The sequence below is a fragment of the Homo sapiens genome, chromosome 21 (assembly GCF_000001405.40).
Source record: "Homo sapiens chromosome 21, GRCh38.p14 Primary Assembly".
Taxonomy (NCBI): Eukaryota; Metazoa; Chordata; class Mammalia; order Primates; family Hominidae; genus Homo; species Homo sapiens.
Window position 1 is genome coordinate 36,473,494 of NC_000021.9, and position 17,888 is coordinate 36,491,381.

The 17,888-nt window shown below is 48.8% G+C and overlaps 1 protein-coding gene, 1 long non-coding RNA gene and 1 pseudogene across 9 annotated transcripts in view, besides 1 other annotated feature; 1 reads left to right on the forward strand and 2 right to left on the reverse strand.

Annotated features, from left to right (window-relative positions):
- CLDN14-AS1 (CLDN14 antisense RNA 1) overlaps positions 1 to 17,888 on the forward strand; it is a 68,202-nt gene that overhangs the window by 43,169 nt on the left and 7,145 nt on the right. Inside the window, exon 3 of one of the 3 annotated variants that reach the window (NR_183529.1) lies at positions 6,738 to 8,332. The exons of 1 other annotated variant lie outside the window; for it this stretch is intronic. This is a non-coding gene — a long non-coding RNA (CLDN14 antisense RNA 1). Of the gene's footprint in view, positions 1 to 6,737; positions 8,690 to 17,888 lie in introns of those variants that run through there. One more of the 3 variants, NR_183531.1, reaches the window with a different exon arrangement.
- CLDN14 (claudin 14) overlaps positions 1 to 17,888 on the reverse strand; it is a 115,949-nt gene that overhangs the window by 12,873 nt on the left and 85,188 nt on the right. The window contains exons 1-2 of one of the 6 annotated variants that reach the window (NM_144492.3): positions 6,002 to 6,629; positions 3,881 to 4,070 (exon numbers count right to left, since the gene is read on the reverse strand). The exons of 2 other annotated variants lie outside the window; for them this stretch is intronic. The gene's annotated coding sequence lies outside the window, so the exon portion shown is untranslated. Of the gene's footprint in view, positions 1 to 3,880; positions 6,630 to 17,888 lie in introns of those variants that run through there. 3 more of the 6 variants (XM_047440736.1, NM_001146079.2, XM_047440735.1) reach the window with 3 other exon arrangements.
- Positions 4,908 to 4,957: an enhancer, noted in NCBI's record as "active region_18436". NCBI's record gives its function as "activates an Ori minimal core promoter by ATAC-STARR-seq in GM12878 lymphoblastoid cells {active_cell/tissue: GM12878}" and the evidence as "EXISTENCE:reporter gene assay evidence [ECO:0000049][PMID:35858748]".
- On the reverse strand, positions 12,377 to 13,939 carry PSMD4P1 (proteasome 26S subunit, non-ATPase 4 pseudogene 1; annotated as a pseudogene).

A 17,888-nucleotide genomic window follows, 5' to 3' on the forward strand; every position in this document is an offset into this window, starting at 1 on the left:
TCTGGAGAACTCTGACTGATACAGAGGATGAAGGGCAGAAGAGAGGAATTTTCTTTTGGACTTGTTCAGTTTGAGATGTCTGTGCCTACCCACCTGGGGATAACCATGGTTGCATATGTAAGTGCAGGGTTCAGGGAGGGACTGAACTGGAGAAGTCTGTTTGTGTCACCACCGCATGGAGATGGGATTAAAATATGGGATGGAGTCTCTTAGGAGGGAACGTTAGATAGAGAGGAGCAGGGGCTCCAGGGCTGATTCTAGGAACCCTCCAACATCAGGGGAGGGATGAGGATAGAGGTAGGAAGAGGAGCCAGCCACGGGCTGTAGGAATGGGCGATAGTGAACGGTCAACCCAGAGGAGACTGGTGAGGGAGGACAGAGCTCCATGTTGGAGAGAGCAATCTACTCTGTCAAGTCAAGTAATCTGATAAATCAAGTCATCTGAGCACTGAGAAGTGGTCACTGGATTAGCAACATGAAGGAAATTGGAGACCTTGATAAGCTCAGTTTCGGCGGAGTTGATTGGAGTGGGTTCAAGAGAGAATAGGGACAGAGGGACAGGAGGGAATGAGCCCAGAGAATTCTTTCAGGAACTTGGACCCTCCAGGGGAATCAGGAAATGAGGCAACAGTTTTAGGATGGGTTCCAGGGCCCATAGACCTCAGGATATCTGTCAACTCAGCCAGGAAAAAAAGTGACATCTTCTATTTCATCTACCTCTCACTGACAATTAGCATTTCCTTCAATCCTGAATGTAGGCAGCCACCTACAGCAATATGACCAGTGCCTGTGCCTTAATCAGCAATAGAGACCATGATATTTTGCATCGCATTACAGGCGTTGCAGATACCTGCAAAGGACATTTATCACTCTAACAATTTCAAATGATACTTATAAGATGCTTGCTAGACCTCATGATGTAATGCATTAATAAGGAAGGTCGTCCATTACTAGGAACAGAATTGCACTAAAATATTTTGATAACTATGTTTTACTATAATTCACTTCCTTTATAATCCTGCATGTTATGTGTTATATTACACATTTAAAAGTATTGTGCTGAGAAGAATACATCAGCTTCGCCAGATTGCCAAAGGAATCCCAGGCAATCCCCATCCCGCCACCCAGAACAACACCGATAACAAAAAACTAAACCAAAAGAGTTAGAAACCTCTGCCAGTGGGATGTGTAGGCAAGAGAGGACCCTTGTTTTGCTGTTGTTTTGAAGATGAGAGGCATGGAAGCATGTTTGCATGCCTGAGGAAATGGTTCAGCGAGGAGGGAAACATCTGTAGGGGCAGTAGGGATCCTGTGTGCACATGGAGAGACCAGCTCTGACCAGCATGCAGAGAACTCACTCCAGAACGGGAGGGGAGGCGGGAGCAGGAGGCTGGGGGAGATGTCAGTGGGCAATAACGCATGTTCTGAGTTTGCTCCAAGTTTCTCAGGGAAATAAGAAGCAACATGATGTCTTGAGACAGGAGATGGGGGAGGAGGTGCGGGAGGCTTGAGCACAGAGGAGGAGACCATGGTCATCCAGGAGAATGACCGCAGGCCTGGACCAAGTCAAGGGGTCAAGTGCTAGTCAGTGCCGGGTGCAGGTGGGGCAAGTGGTCCTGCGGGTACCATAGACTATCACGCCGGACAGCCTTTCCCAGCACCATCAACTGCACTGCGAGGGTCCCAAGTGGACAAAGGGCTGGACTGGACCTGGTGGGGATTTTCCTAGGGGAAAATGATGAAGGCAGACAGCCAAGGGAAATATGCGTGCACACAAAGGTGTGAACATCATGGCGGGCCGTGGCGTCAAAGCTGGGATGGAGGGACATTGAGGACAATAGAGAAGGTCTGTTCATCGTGGAGAAGTCACCTGGATCAGTGGCTCTCCACCCTCCTGCTGTAGCCGCAGCCCTTGGAGAGCTTTAAAAAGATCCGGATGCCCTGGCTACCTCCAGAGATTCTGATTCGCTGACTGGGGTGGGGTCCATGCATGGGAATTTTCGAGCTCCTCTCCCCCACCCGGTGATTCTGATGTGCAGGCAGGTTTGAGAACCAATGGCTTATTTATTTCATTAAAAATTATTTTTCACTCTGTTGGCCAGGCTGGAGTGCAGTGGCACAATCACGGCTCCCTGCGGCCTTGACCTCCTGAGCTCAAGTGATCCTCCCGCCTCAGCCTTCCGAGTAGCTGGAACTTCAGGTGTGAGCCACTGCACCCAGCCCCGCTGGCTTCATTGATTTAACTTTTTTTATTTTATTTTATTTTATTTTTTTGAGACAGAGTCTTGCTCTGTCACCCAGGCTGGAGCACAGTAGGATTACAGGTGCACGCCACCACACCCAGCTAATTTTTGTATTTTTAGTAGAGACGGGGTTTCACTCCGTCTAGGCTGGTCTCAAACTCCCGACTTCAAATGATCTGCCCTCCTCGGCATCCCAAAGTGCTGGGATTACAGGCATGAGCCACCACCGTACCTGGCCTGATGTAACTTTTAAAGGTCCTATTAGGAGCTTTAAAGAGTCCAAAACGGTTTAACAGAGAGTCATAGTTCAGATGTCTGTTCTGCTGGGCCTGCCTGCTGAGTGCAGGCTCTCTTTGGGATCTCCTGAGATGGAGACAGGTGTCTCTGGCCTGTCCCTGGAATATTGTCTCACCTACCCATAAGGCTAGGCTCTCCCACTCCCTTCGCTTGAAATCCTCTTCTCCAGCTACAATCTTACCTTCCCTCCTGTGGCCCTGCACCCTTGCCTTCTGCCATCTAGAAAAAGTGGTTGGGGGGGTGGTTCTTTATTTATCTTGCTGCCTTCTGGCTCTTACCTTCCCAGAGCCCCACGGAAGCCTGTTCTTACAACCTGGGTCCTCTTCCTGGGACCCCAGCCCACTGTGGGCACTGAGCCTCCCTCATTGTTAATCTTGGCCAAGAAGTTACCCCACAGGCATTTATATTTTAATGGATGACTATTTTTTTTTTTTTTTGAGTCAGAGTCTCACTTTGTCACCCAGGCCGGAGCGCGGTGGTGCGATCTCAGCTCACTGCAACCTCCGCCTCCCAGGTTCAAGTGATTCTCCTGCCTCAGCCTCCTGAGTAGCTGGGATTACAGGCGCCTGCTACCATGTCTGGCTAATTTTTGTATTTTTAGTAGAGACCAGGTTTCACCATGTTGGTCAGGCTGGTCTCGAACTCCTGACCTCATGATCCACCCGCCTTGGACTCCCAAAGTGCTGGGATTGTAGGCGTGAGCCACTGCCCTCGGCCCATGGATGACCTTTGAAAACAAATCTCCTCCTGGCCCAGGCCCCAAAGCATACACTCACAGTGGTGAGAATGATTGGGTGAGTCTTCCAGAAAAGCCTGTGATAGTTTGATATAAAGACATTTAGAATTAATTGGGTCAGGTATGAGATTTCAGATTGCAGAAATCCTTGTGTAAGCAAAGGCCTTGCAGCTAAAGTAGTGCATGGCAGGTGTGGCTTAGCCTTTAGACATACACACAGTGGCCAGATTGTGCATTTGCTCTGAAGAGTACCAGGCCCTGTAGGTTACCTTTGCCTGCTCTCAGGACTTGCTAGATAATTTGCAGAACCCAGTGCAAAATGAAAATACAGAACCCCTTGTTCAGAAATTATTAAGAATGTCAAGATGGCGTCTGCAGAACATCAAGCCAAGTGCAAGCCTGTCTGAGCACGGGGCTCCCTGTAACTGCACAGATCATGTGCCTGTGAAGCTGTCCCTGCCTGCTATGGACATGCTGGGAACTGGACATTGGGATTTTCCCCCCTTAAAACAATGAGTGCATTGAGTTAGAATGTTGAAAGGAACAGAGACGCTCTTGCAGTGTTCTGTAGAATCGAAAATATGGTTTCATATGTTTACTTTACCTTCATTTAAGTGTAGCCCTGATGCCTCTGCGAATATCTGCCATGGAAGAGCCTTTTAAAAACAAAGCTCTTGCTGGTCTCCAGTGCCCAAGAGTGGCCGCCAGTGGAAACAGACCTGGTGTTCTAAATCTCAGTTTTTGTTTCTTTCTTCTTCCAAGAAAGCTGTAGATGAGCATGTGCACTTCCAGGCCTAGAAGGGAACAGCTGCCTCTGGGTGGCTCGCCTCTTTGCACAAGGGGCTCAGCTCAGAGCTTCCCCTAAGCCTGGCAGGTCCCCCCGACACTTCTCTTGGGAATGAAGTGGACAAAGTGAGTGAATGAGCCTCAGCTTCTCCTGTCTTTTTATAGAGTCACCCGACAGGGAGAGATAAAGGAGGTGGTAGCAGCTTAGGCCCAGGAGCCCTCTCAGCAAATGGCCCAGAGTAGAAAATTCCCCACACTATGTTGCTGTTGGTCACCCGGTGAAAAGTCCCTGGCCCTGGCAGCCACTTGTCCTGCAAATGGTGCGAGTGAAGAATCCACAGATTAGCTGGAAGGAGGAACGTTTGAGTTTGAAAACGCCAAGAATCATTCCTGAACTGGCAAGGCTGGCCACCTGCGTTTTAAAAACACATTGGCACTAGCCTTGAAAACAGACTTTTAGACTTCTTACTCTGCGTAATGAAAGATCTTTTCTGATATATAGGCAACAGAATGATTTTTTTAAAAACAATAATGGACATATTCCATTTTATTGATCTTTACCTAAAAACTAAAAACTAACTGGAAAACAGGAAATATTTAATAGTGACATTTTCATAGCACCAAAGGAAGAATCTACGTGTCTTCCTTTTTATAGATTTTTCTGTAGATGTCTTAAGAAGCATTGAACCCTTTATACAGATGGGTAAATAAAACACAGTAAGCTTGAGATATGCAAATCAGATTGGAGCCAGATAAGGATGGGGGCTGGCGCTGGCTTCAATTCTGACTAATCTTGGGCAAGCTGCTCAGCCTATTACTCACTGTCTACACAGGAATGACTGTCTACATAGGAATAGCTCCTCTGCAGAGACATCTAGAAGATGCTGAGATAATATATGTAAAAACTGACAAGCCCTTTGGGACAGATACCAGCAAATGCAAGGCGTATGCTATGGAAGTTTTATCATCCTAACAGATAAGCCCGTCCCCAACTCCAGTGAGTGACTGAGAGACACGGGCATGAACGCTGAGCTCAGATGACAGCATCTTTTCACAGCAGACCTGGGCCCAGCCCCTGGAAGCACACGATGATGAACTGTCCTCTGGTTTCCCAAGACTTCAAAAATGAAACCCAGTGATCAAGAGATGTTTGGCTTTGAACACTGCGGGAATTAAAGCCAGCACCCAGTTAAAGCCAGTGAGGACAGCACTCCAAGGTTTGGGGACGGTCTCAGGACACTAATCCTGGTTCCTTTTCTATTTTGCCTGGGTCCCTCCTGCCCATCCTGGGAAGCCGTGGCAGCTGTTGGGGATGTGGGGCCCCAGGTAACTGAAGGATTAACTCACGTCTCAAATTGCATGGCATTTCTCCTCTTCAGCACCATTTTTTACCCTCATTGAGAGAGATCTATCACTTCCCCCCCTCTCCTGCCATGCCAATATGTGTCTGTGTTGGAGGGCAGGGGTGTATTTAGGGAGCAGGAGAATGTTCCCAAGTCTGGAAACTCGGAACAGTCTGCCTGGCCCTCTTTGCAGAAAAACGAGGGAGTCCCAGCAGACAGAAGGGGGCAGTGGCGCTGAGCTCCCCGAGCTGAGCTGTGGCCTCAAAACACTGAACAGATTCAGTCCTTCCTCCCAAACAGGCCTGGTAAGCGATGAAAAGAGTTCTGCCCAAACACTCAGGAACTGGATTATTGTCGTTCCTGGCTCATTAGGAGCCTGGCTGCCCTCATGCCAGCTGCGTGGGGTCCTCTGGAGGCCACCCAGACCAGCCTGCAGCTTCCTTTCCTGTAGGGGCCAGCACGGTCCCTTCCTCTGGAGAACGCTCGGACCCCTGGCTGCATGCACATCTAACCGGCAGGGCCTAAGGGCTTCCAAAACAGATGACTGTCAACCCCAGCCCGCCCACCCCACATCCACAGCTTCACCCCAAACTCACATGCAGAAAACCTCGAGTCTCATCTTCCTGTTCAGGTCCCTTGCCAGCCGGAGCCGCTCTGGAGCCTGGCTGGACTCCAGCTCCCATGTGCAAGAGGACTCAGCCGGGACGCTGCCACCCTCCTGCCTTCCCTCTTCTGCCAACCAGACGCTTCCAGGACGGAGTATTTGAGAGAAAATTGTCTAGACAATTACAGTGTTCCTTAGAATGGCCTGCGTGGGCACACGTGCCACTTGGTTAGCTAGCATGAGAGGAGGTGGCTTGGCCAGAGCAGACATTCAAGACCAACCAGAAATGTCATTTCTGCACTGTGGAAAAAAAATGCACGATACACCTGAACCTGGGCATCTCCTTCCTAACACGCGCTCAGGATCAAGCCTCCCCTTCCCAGCCTGGCAGGGTTGCAGGGCGTCCATAGTCCAGCCTACGCCTGCCCAGGCTCTCGGCTCCGGGTCCATTGGCTGTTCACACTCACTTCCCTGTGTCCTGGAACTGCCTGATTGTTGTAGATTACTAAAAATCCACAGCTCATTCCCTCCTGCGCCCTGACCACCTGCCCACAGCGACTGTGTCCTCCTCTGAGCCACCACCTGGCGGTTGTCCTCACACTGCTTTGGACTTTTCTGCTATTGAGTAACTCAGCTTCTCAGCCTTTAGGCTGCTATGGGCCCTAGATGCATGCTGGTCGATTCTGATCAACGAGCAACTGCTTTTGTTTGTTTGCTTTTTTCTACAGCTGCAGCTGTGGGTGATTCGGATGGTCTGTTGGTGGAATGTGGAGCTGGACGGGTCAAGGAGCACAGTGTGGAAAGAGGGACAATTTGCTACAAGTTGGAGATAAGAGACATGGCATACTGTGAAACCAGTGCTGACGGAAGAAGGTGACTTTCTTGGAAGGTCAAGACACTTGCTTGACAGCGATGTCCAGGAGGGCTAGGGAGAGTTCTGCTGGAAGTGAAGGCAGCACCTGAGGGTGGCTGAGGGAACTGGTCAGGGCTGGGAACGCCTCCAGCCCTTTGAGGAATGATTCGCTGATTAAGAGATGTTTGGCCTTGAAAATTGCAAGAATGAAATCTCTTGGTGGGAATGTGTAGCCAAAAGCCAGCACCCTGAGTGGCTCCAAGGTTTGGGGACCCTCTCAAGGCACAAATCCCAGTTCCTTTTCAATTTTGAAAATCGTTGTGGGCGATTCTGGAATTGAGAAGTGTGCTGAGAGCCATGGATTTAACATGACAAGAATTTCCGCCCCTTCGTCACTGAGCACACCGCAAATGCTCCAGGGCCAGGGACTTACTTGGGCTTCTGCGTGTCTTCCACAGTGTGCATCAATCCGCCGGGCTCTGGTTGGTGTTTAAAAAAAAAGATGCAGCGAAGGAATCTGGTGTGGACAAACGCCCTGGGCATGGACCAAAAGCCTGGCCCTTGTGTCCCTGGCAATGGGACGGTGAAGGACAGAAAGACAGCACATCCAGTAGTGTCAGGAGCTTGGAGCAGGCATTCGGAAGCATCTGTTAAATGTTATTGATGGAGGATTGACATAACCCACATCTGCATAGCTTTTTTGGTCTGTTTTTGGAAGTGAACAGTCACAAACAAAAACAACTTTGGTTCAGGTCATTTATAGGCCCAGATCCTCTATCCTTAGAGGTTTCCCACCAGATATACTATTTCACTATCTATGCCAGGAAAGTTACGTAAAACCACGCAGAATTTTACCTGACAACGAAATAGACCTTTTCGTTAGATCCTCCACCCCACCTAAAGCAGTTACACAGGCTGAAATGAAACTGTTAAAGGAATGAACTAACTTGGAGATAGAATCATCGCCTTTGCTGAACACCATTTTAAGAATATTGGAATATATAGGGGTACCAGCATAATAGTAAAATGTGCCCATATTATCTATAATTTTATGCTGGGCACTTTTTAGAAATTATTTTTTATAACTTTGTCTTTGAGATGATTTGGCTACAAGTTCATTACATTTAGTTTACAACTGGCTTTGATTTCTTGGCATTCGTTGTGTATTATTAGGAAACCCCGCAGAGAGAAAATGTAAACTCCAAATTGCTTTAAAATATTATGATAGTTTTTAGGGATATTACACTGTGACAGTGAATGAAATGGACGTAACGTTCTGTTTTGTAGATATTTTGTGAAATCTTTATTAGTCTTGATTTTCTTTGGAACAAGTCATTCCTGTTCTGGGCTGAAGCCTGAAAATTCCCTGACCTGTGACCCTGGCCCAAGGCTCCTCTTGGATAAAACAGTGTTTCCTGGACCAGAGGGCAAAGTCACAGAAACATGATGTGACGAAATCTAAATAGAAAGGTATTGATTTGTTCTTCGTTCATCAAATAGTTATTGGACTCCAGCACGTATGAGTAGCAGGGAGCCTGGCTAGCACTACACCTTCCCCTCCTGCCTCTCAGGGTCAGGGCCACAGGCACACACAGAGCGAGGGAAAATGAGGGGGTAGAGAGGCTGGTCCCGAGTCTCCAGCCCTTCTCTCCCAATCCTCTCCCTGAGTGGGCAGGGAACTCTTCTCTTGGCTCCTCCAACTTCCATCAACGTCTGCCCTTGGGTCTGGTTTTAAACTCTAAGGTGTAAATGACTCATAATGGCTCAACATTTTGTCCCTCCCAAGAGGTATTTTTAAGTCTAAGGAATAAAGATTTAATAGTAAAACTTCGAATGCCAATCAGGGGTAAGTGAGGATTTGGAAGAGGAAGGTCTTGAGCATTTTCCTAACACTGCTAAAATCATCCCATTGAGTTAGGGCAGCAACTATCCTGATGGGCTGGGTATGATGGAAGTTAGTCAATGTTTCAATAGATGGATGGATGGATGGATGGATGGATGGATGGATAGACTGACGGATGGATGGATGGATGGATGGATGGATGGATGGATAGACGGATGGATGGATGGATGGATGGATGGATGGATGGATGGATAGATGGATGGATACATAGATCACCTTTATTCTGATCTCAACTGGTCTTTGAAGCTTGATTCATTTTTTGATTTCTCACGGAGCCAGACTAGGGTCTGACACATTAGGAAGCTGGCAAAAGTTTGTTGACTAAACAAATTAATGAAGGGAAAATTATGTATGCAGAGATGCCTGGGGTTTGGGTTACCGTTTTGGGTCCCCTTTGATTTGAGCGACACACATGCTGACAACTTGAGTCTGAAGTTAGTGGATCCTTAGCTAACTTGCTAGAGTAAAGGTTGTGGTAAAACTTGACCTTGCTCTATTCATCAACAGCATATCCTGTGAAAGTCACGACGCTTCCATGAAAACCTTGGTGCTAGGCCTGTGATATCTTTGCAGAGGTCTGACCTAAGGAGACTGCTTGTGTCAATAGTAACAACAATCACAATTGTCCTGAACACAAAGGCAGCATTCTTTGTGTGCTAGCTGTGGTTTTAAGCATATTACGTCTATTTACTAATTTAATCCTGAAACAGCCTTTGCTTTAGGTACTCCTATTAACCTCATTTTATGGATGGGAAAATAGACTGTGAGAAGTGAAGTCACCCGCCCAAGGTCATACACCTGTAAGTGGTGGAGGCAGGGTTTGAACCGAGCACACTGGCCTCACTTCGTGGGCTCCTACCACTACGCTGCCTCATGTTACTACCCTGTATCCACCTCCAGAATGAGTTGGCAGCTGCAAGTTCTCCCCAAGGCCCCACTGCAGCCCTTGCATCTCAGCATCAGCTCCTTGCACGGCCAGGTGGTGTTGTTTCTGACTCGGGGTCTGCATCTCTCTCTGCGCCGCTGGGTTCAGGAGGCCCTGAGGAGCGAGCCCGGTCCAGTGCTAGCTTCGCAGCTCACAGCCCTTGGGCAAATGTTACAACTGGAGGGCTGCACAAATGCATCATGTGGTTTCAAACCATGCGTCTCTCTGAGCAGGAATTGCTGGAATGGGCCTCAGAAAGTTCCTGACCCTTTGTCTGGGGTCACAGGGTCTGTGTCCAGTGAGGCCTAGAGGCCACGTGAGGTCCAGAGAGAGAAGCACAAGGCAGCTGCTGAGGCCTCATAGGAACCATGCGGTGAAGGAACCAGGGTTTCTTCTTTCTCCATGGCAACTAGGAGTGCAGGTCAGCCTCGGAAAAGGATCCTCCATCTTTGGTTAAAAGAACGGTGAGCCCAGGTTTGGTAATGATGTAGCTGTGTGAGTTGATGGATGCAAAGTGCCCGGCGTGGTGCCTTATCCATCGTAGGTATTGCCGAAGGAGAGCTTTTGTCACCCCTTCCTGGAGAGGGGTGTTGTGGTTTGTGGGTTGAGACCTTTTGGATTCCTGGCATTGACAATGGCACTATTTGGGGTGGGGACCTTCTTGTTGGAGGAGTCTCCTTCCCTCCCTGCTGGTGATATAGGCAGGAAAAGAAGCCAAGAACTAGGCCAATTGCAATAAAGAAAGAAAGAAGCACCTTCTGAGCCTCTCTTGCCCTGTAAGGAGCCAAGGGGGACAGGGCCAGATACGGACCCACTGCAGGGATGGGCAGTCTCCGCCCTTCACTGAGGAGGATGCAGGACTTATGGCCCCACTGGGCGGCAGGGACACAGGAACCTAGACTGTCCATGCTCAGACACGGTCTGGATTTAGAACCGTAGGCCTTGGGGCCGTTTTCAAAAAATAGACCCTTTCCTTAGGAAAATCCCACAAAACTGCCCCAAAGACGAGTGAGGTAGGAAGAGCATGAGGCTCGGATTCTATTTACGCATGCATGTCCATTAGATTCTGGATTCAAAAGCCCCATGTTCTTGGGTTTAAGATTGTACTTTCTGACGTGAACAGTGAATTGCAAATTCAGACTTAAGAGATGGTTACTTTTCCACCAAGAGAACAGCCCCGAAACTTGGCCAGAGCATTGGTGTTTTGGTGCTGCTGTAACACAGTGCCACATGCTGGGAGGCTTGAGACAACAGACATTTGTCTGTTGCCTTGCAGTTCTGAAGGCCAAGAGTCCAAAACCAAGACGCTAGCAGGGCTGTGCTCCTCTGAGACTGGGTAGATGCCTTCCTGGCCTCCTCCAGCTTCTGGTGGTGGCCAGCAATCCTTGGCATTCCTTGGCTTCCAGCATGACCACTCCAATCTCTGCCTTTTTCATGACATGGTGGTCTTCCTGCATGTCTCTCCTCACACGTCGTTCTCTTCTTATAAGGACACCTGTCAGATTAGATGAGGGCCAATTCTAAGAAGCTTTTTTTTTTCTTTTTTGAGACAGAGTTTCATTCTTTCTTGCCCAGGCTGGAGTGCAATGGCGTGATCTTGGCTCACCGCAACCTCCGCCTGCCGGGTTCAAGTGATTCTCCTGCCTTGGCCTCCCGAGTGCTGGGATTACAGGCATGCACCGCCATGCCTGGCTAATTTTGTATTTTTAGTGGAGGCGGGGTTTCTCCATGTTGGTCAGGCTGGTCTCAAACTCCTGATCTCAGGTGATCCGCCTGCCTCGGCCTCCCAAAGTGCTGGGATTACAGGCATGAGCCACTGTACTGGGCTGATAAGGGCCAATTCTAATGGGCTCATCTTAACTTGATGACATCCACAAAGTCTCTGTTTCCAAATAAGGTCACATTCACAGGCACCAGAAGGTAGGGCTTCAATATGCATTTTGGGGGACAGACTTCACCCACTGACAGCCATATGTGTTCTTTACAGTTGCCACTATTTCTATGACTTGGAGTGAGACTGTGATTTTGTTTTTCTTTTTTTTTTGATGGCGTCTTAGTCTGTCACCTAGTCTGGAGTGCAGTGGCGTGATTTTTGGCTCACTGCACTCTTTGCCTCCCAGGTTCAAGCGATTCTCTTGCCTCAGCCTCCCAAGTAGCTGGGATTACAGGCATGCACCACCATGTCTGGCTAATTTTTGTATTTTTAGTAGAGACAGGGTTTCACCATGTTGGCCAGGCAGGTCTTGAACTCCTGATCTCAAGTGATCCACCCGCCTCAGCATCCCAAAGTGTTGATATTACAGGCGTGAGCCACTGTGCCTGGCCAAGGCTCTGATTTTCGTTAGGATCAGACGGATCACTTCTGTCACCAGCGATACCTGAGTACAGGTTAATCAATACAGCAAGATGTTGCACTAGTGATCGCAGCAGTCAAGTTCATTTCCAAATACAGAGCGAAAGCAAGGTGCCTTCCCAATCCTCTGCTCTGTCCTGTTTTCTGTCTCGGGACACCCTGTCATCCTCAGACAAGTGACAATGAAGAGACAGTAAAGGCAAACCAAGTCACTGTCCAAAAATTGCACCACCTACCTTGGAGAGCCTCTCATTTCCCATCAGATATGAATGAAAGATCAGATATAAACCTGATGGGAAATGAGAGGTTCCATTTCCTTTTTTTTTTTTTTATGTTGCCAAGCTTTATTTAGGCTGTAATGGTTACAGATAACACACATCTAACCCTATATTCTCTGCGTCCCATGCAGTCCCCTGAGCAGGCTCAGCTACCCTTTCCCTCCAGTCTCACTTCTTGTCTTCCTCCTTCTTGTCCTTCTTGCCATCCTTGGTGGCCTGGCAGGCCAGGGAGCCCACAGCGTTTCAAATGGCTTCATTGTTGGGATCCACACCTGGGAGGTTCTCCAGGACACTCTGAAGGAACTCAGGATCCTGCATCACGTCGTAATCATCCTCCTCCTTGGCTGGCTGGCAAGTGTCCATGGCTGAGCTGGCATCAATGTCTACTGATTCCGCCTGGCCAAACTCTGCTCCTGCAGGGACATCTTCATGACATAAGCAATCCCCTCTTCCTTAGGTCAGGAAGTCCGGTATGGCCAAACTCTTGTTGGCTAATGGTCATCTTCAGCAGGACCTCGTCTGAGCCTTCAGTCCCAGTTGTAGCAATCCTGGCCTCAGCAGCAGAGGCTGCAGCTGCTCGTCTGGGCTCCTCATCCTGCCGCTGCTGCTGCTCCTCCATAGAAACCCGAGGGCCAAGGCCAGCTGAGGATCAGCACTGGGATCTACTCCAAATTCAAAGTCACTGGCACCGAGACCCAGCATGGCACCCCCTTCCCCAGCCAAAATCGGAGAACTGATGAGAGCATCAGCCAAGCTGGGCCCAGGAGGCACTGCCACCAGATGAGAACCGCTTCCATCTTTGCCATTCAACGTGTTTACAAAGGCTGTCAGCTTTTCTCTGTTCACCTCCTCTTCCCCCAAATTTATCATGTCAACATTTACTTTCTCCTTCTTGAGGAATTTAGCCAGTTTCACCAGATCCTTCTCATTGCCTTTGGGCTTCCCACGAAGGCAATGATATGCGTCTTGTGATTCTTGCCCCGTCAGCGCTTCAGAGCCAGATGGGCCATGTGGATGCCAGTGTAGAAGGTGATCTTGCCCTTGGGTTGGACGGTGTGTAGCTTGGACAGGATGCGGCCGGTGTCTAGAGTGAGTGTGGTCAGCACTTCACAGTCATTAGCCAGTGTGATGAGGGCCATGTTGTTCTCAGGGTTGCTGTGGATTTTGTTTAATTTTTTTTTTTTTTTTGAGACTGAGTCTTGCTCTGTCACCTAGGCTGGTGTGCAATGGCGCAATCTCAGCTCACTGCAACCTCTGCCTCTCGGGTTCAAGGGATTCTCCTGTCTCAGCCTCCCAAGTAGCTGGAACTACAGGCGCCTGCCACCACACCCGGCTAATTTTTGTATTTTTAGTAGGGACGGGGTTTTACCATGTTGGTCAGGCTGGTCTTGAACTCCTGACCTCATGGTCTGCCTGCCTCGGCCTCTCAAAGTGCTGGGATTACAGGCGTGAACCACTGCGCCCGGCCTGTTGTGGGTTTTGAATGACATACTATGTTGACAGCGTCTTGCTGGGCCTGCAGCTGGGTGGGGAAGAAGTCCTCATTCTGCACATACTCACTGTTGTCCACACACACCATAGCGCTTTCCAACACCATCCTGCCACCCTCCTCCCTCCCATTTCTTGAAATAATCCTTCATGTATAACTTAGGTTAATAGTGCCTCATAGTCTACTTAGAAAGAATCAGATAGAATTTTCTTTAGTAAGGAAATTTCCAAATAGAGAATAGAAAAGTTAATTGATGGCAATGTATTTAATAGCGAGGATCAGTGAGGAAATGAATTAAAGAGGTTCCTTTTACACTTTTCTTCTCTGAAGCTAGGTACACCTTAGTTCATGTTGCAGCTTCTTTGGTGCTGTCAGATCATAGTTGGTATGAAATGGGAAGTTTCTGAAAGTCAGATGACACATTTGTGAAATGCAACCTCACTGTTATCTACCCGGCACCCATCATTTAGCTGACAACAATCTCAGCAACAGGCATTTCAATGTGGTCCTGCGTTTGCTAATTGCTGGTGTGTACTCAGGACACCGGAAGATTTAACCTTTTGGATGAGACAGATACCAGTAACTTCCCAGCTGAGCTTCCCAGGAATGAACTGATGAGAAGTGACATCCAAAAAACTGTCTCTTAAAATATAAAGAGATCAAAAGCATGAAGTAGAGACTCAAACAGGTGTGTGCACACTCACCTTCATAGCAGCATTATTTGCAATAGTCAAAAGGTGGCAGCAGGCCAGGCGTGCACTGAGAGACGAATGGATAAACAAAATATGCTGTAACCACACAATGCAACATCCAGCCAGAAAAAGGAAGTTCTGACACATGCTCCAACACGGCTGAACCTTGAGGATGTTATGTTAAGTGAAATATGCCCATTGCAAAAAGACAAATACTGTGATTCCCCTTCCTTCCTTCCTTCCTTCCTTCCTTCCTTCCTTCCTTCCTTCCTTCCTTCCCTCTCTCTTTCTTTTTGAGACAGAGTCTCACTCTGTTGCCAGGCTGGAGTGCAGTGGCGGGATCTCAGTTCACTGCAACCTCTGCCTCCTGGGTTCAAGCGATTCTCCTGCCTCAGCCTCCCGAGTAGCTGGGATTACAGGCACGTGCCGCCATGCCCAGCTAATTTTTGTATTTTTAGTAGAGACGGGGTTTCACCATGTTGGCCAGGATGATCTCAATCCCTTGATCTCGTGATCCACCCTCCTCGGCCTCCCAAAGTGCTGGGATTACAGGTGTGAGCCACCGCGCCCGGCCTGTGATTCCACTTTTATGAGATACCTAGTATAGTCAAATTAATAGAGACAGAAGGTAGAATTGCGGGTGCCAGGGGCTGAGGGCGGGGGGGTGGGGAGTTACAGTTTAATGGGTACAGACTTTCAGTCTGGGAGGAGGAGAAAGCTCCGGAGAGGGATGGTGGTGGATGGCTGCATGATATGCGTGTACTTAATGTCACAGAACTATGTACTTCAAATGGCTGAAATAGCACATTTTACGTTATGTGTGTTTTACTACAATAAAAAATACAGAAAGAGGCCGCGCACAGTGGCTCACGCCTCTAATCCCAGCACTTTGGGAGGCTGAGGTGGGCAGATCACCTGAGGTCAGGAGTTCAAGACTAGCCTGGCCAACACGGTGAATACAAAAATTAGCTGGGTGTGGTGGCATGCATCTGCGATCCCAGCTACTCAGGAGGCTGAGGCAGGAGAATCACTTGAACCTGAGAGGTGGAAGTTGCAATAAGTCGAGATCAAGCCACTGCACTCCAGCCTGGGCAACAGAGTGAGTGAGAGTCTGTCTCAAAGAAAAAAAAAAAAAAATATATATATATATATATATATATATGGAGAGAGAGAGAGAGAGAAAGAGAATGGGGGGCGGGAGAGAGAGAGAGAAAGAGAGAGAGAGAGAGAGAGAACATCCAAAACTGATATTAGCCATTCTGAATTGGACTGTCCCATCAAATGTGGTCTTGCAGCTGTCCACTTGTTTAGGAGTAAGGAGTTTTATTGGAATGAATGTTCTCAGATATTAATCAACACAGTACCTCCCTCCCTTCTCAGTTCCAGCTGATGCTGAGACACCAATGGCAAATCTTGATCCATGCCCACCCCAGGAGGATGAGCGACAGTCAGGATTTTGGGCCACAACACATGCAGCTTCCTGCAGTGTCCTCTTCTCCAGGGTGTGCTGTGGGAAGGCCTCACCAGCTTGGGCAGGGGCTCAGCTCTCACGGGACGAGGCAGCTGAGTAGCTGATGGCAGGGCCTGGTGGGGGGCCGGGGACGACGGCAGAGTCATCCACTGCCACTCTGGACAAAGGCCAAACCTGTCCTGGATGCCACCTAGTTGCTGCCCTCTTAACCTGACCCTCTGGCCTGCCTCAGACCTTATAATTTCCTAAGCACGTCTGCATAGACTGTTATTTAGTCTTGCCAATGACCGCGAGGGAGCTGTTATCACTGCCAGGCATCATGTCCAGTCCTCACGGCTGGCCATAAGAAGATCCGGGCCTCACCTGGGCCTCCCATCCAAGCCCCAAGTTCTTTCCTCCCCCAGTAGCCAGCCAGAGCCACCAACCCTCCCTCAAGCCATGAGAGGAAGCAGCTGTGATGAGCACTGAGCCCTCAACCAGGAGCCGTTGAATGAACAGGTGTGAATCTCAAACACAATTTTCTGCAAGGTCTTCTCCACTCCCAGGCCCAGCTGTATCTCTTACGGCTGAGGGATCAGGATGACTTTGCTGCGGCCTCGCTGGAAGCATCTCTCTAGATTGCCACGGACCAGGCAGTCTAGAGATGAGGAAGTCAGAGGCTCCACAGACACTCAGATATCATCAGATCCCCTCCCAAAGGGAGAAGAATGCTCTGTTTTATTTTATTCTATTTAACTTTGTTAATTTAATTTTTAGAGGCAGGATCTTGCCCTGTTGCCCAAGCTGGAGTGCAATGGCTCGACCGTGGGTCACCGCAGCCTTGAGCTCCTGGGCTTAAGAGATCCTCCTGCCTCAGCCTCCCAAAGAGCTGGGACTACAGGTGCGAACCACCATGTCTGCTAGTTCAATTTTTTTTTAATTTTTTTTTTTTTTTTTTTTTGTGACAGAGTCTCACTCTGTCACCCAGGCTGGACTGCAGTGGCGTGATCTTGGCTCACTGCAACCTCCACCTCCTGGGTTCAAGTGATTCTCCTGCCTCAGCCTCCCAAGTAGCTGAGATGACAGGTGTGCACCACCATTCCAGGCTAATTTTTGTATTTCTAGTAGAGATGGGGTTTAACCATGTTGGCCAGGCTGCTTTCAAACTCCTGACCTCAAGGGATCCACCTGCCTCGGCCTCCCAAAGTGCTGGGATTACAGGTGTAAGCCACCATGCCTGGCCAAAAAATTTCTTTACTTATAATTTTTTGTAGAGATGGGGTCTCTCTATGCTGCGGAGGCTGGTCTCGAACTCTTGGCCTTAAGAGATCCTCCCACCTGGGCCTTTCTCTGACTGTTCAGTTTGATACACGTGGAACCAGGTTTGCTTGCACCCTCCTCACCGCTTCTGCTTTCTGCTCCTCCCAAACACATGAACATATTCAGATATGCATCAACGTGCACATATGCCAACACGTGTGGGCACACACATGCAAGTGCACAGACACACACACACACACACACACACACACACACACACACACCCCTGGACACACACACATTGTTTTCTCAAAATGACTTTTGGCAGCAGCAAAGCCAAACCTTTCCAAAGGCCGAAGAAAGGCCTTCATTTGCATCACGTTAACTTGGGGGGCTGCATCTCCTCCCCTGTTTTTAGTACAAAACATGAGTCAACGGTTCAACCCTCACCCCAGCAAACTAATTAGGGTCAATGTGATTAAAGGGCTCAGCTCTGGTGCAGGAACTAGGATCCCCAGATATCCTGAAGAACTTCACTCACAGTCTCTTTCCTAAGGTTTGTGCCCTAAAACAAGGCACTGACTCACTGTGTTCAGCTCTTAATAACCTCAAGAACCTCCCTTCCCAGCTGGGCGCCTCTTCCATAAAGGGGTTACCAGAAAACAAGAAGCAACAC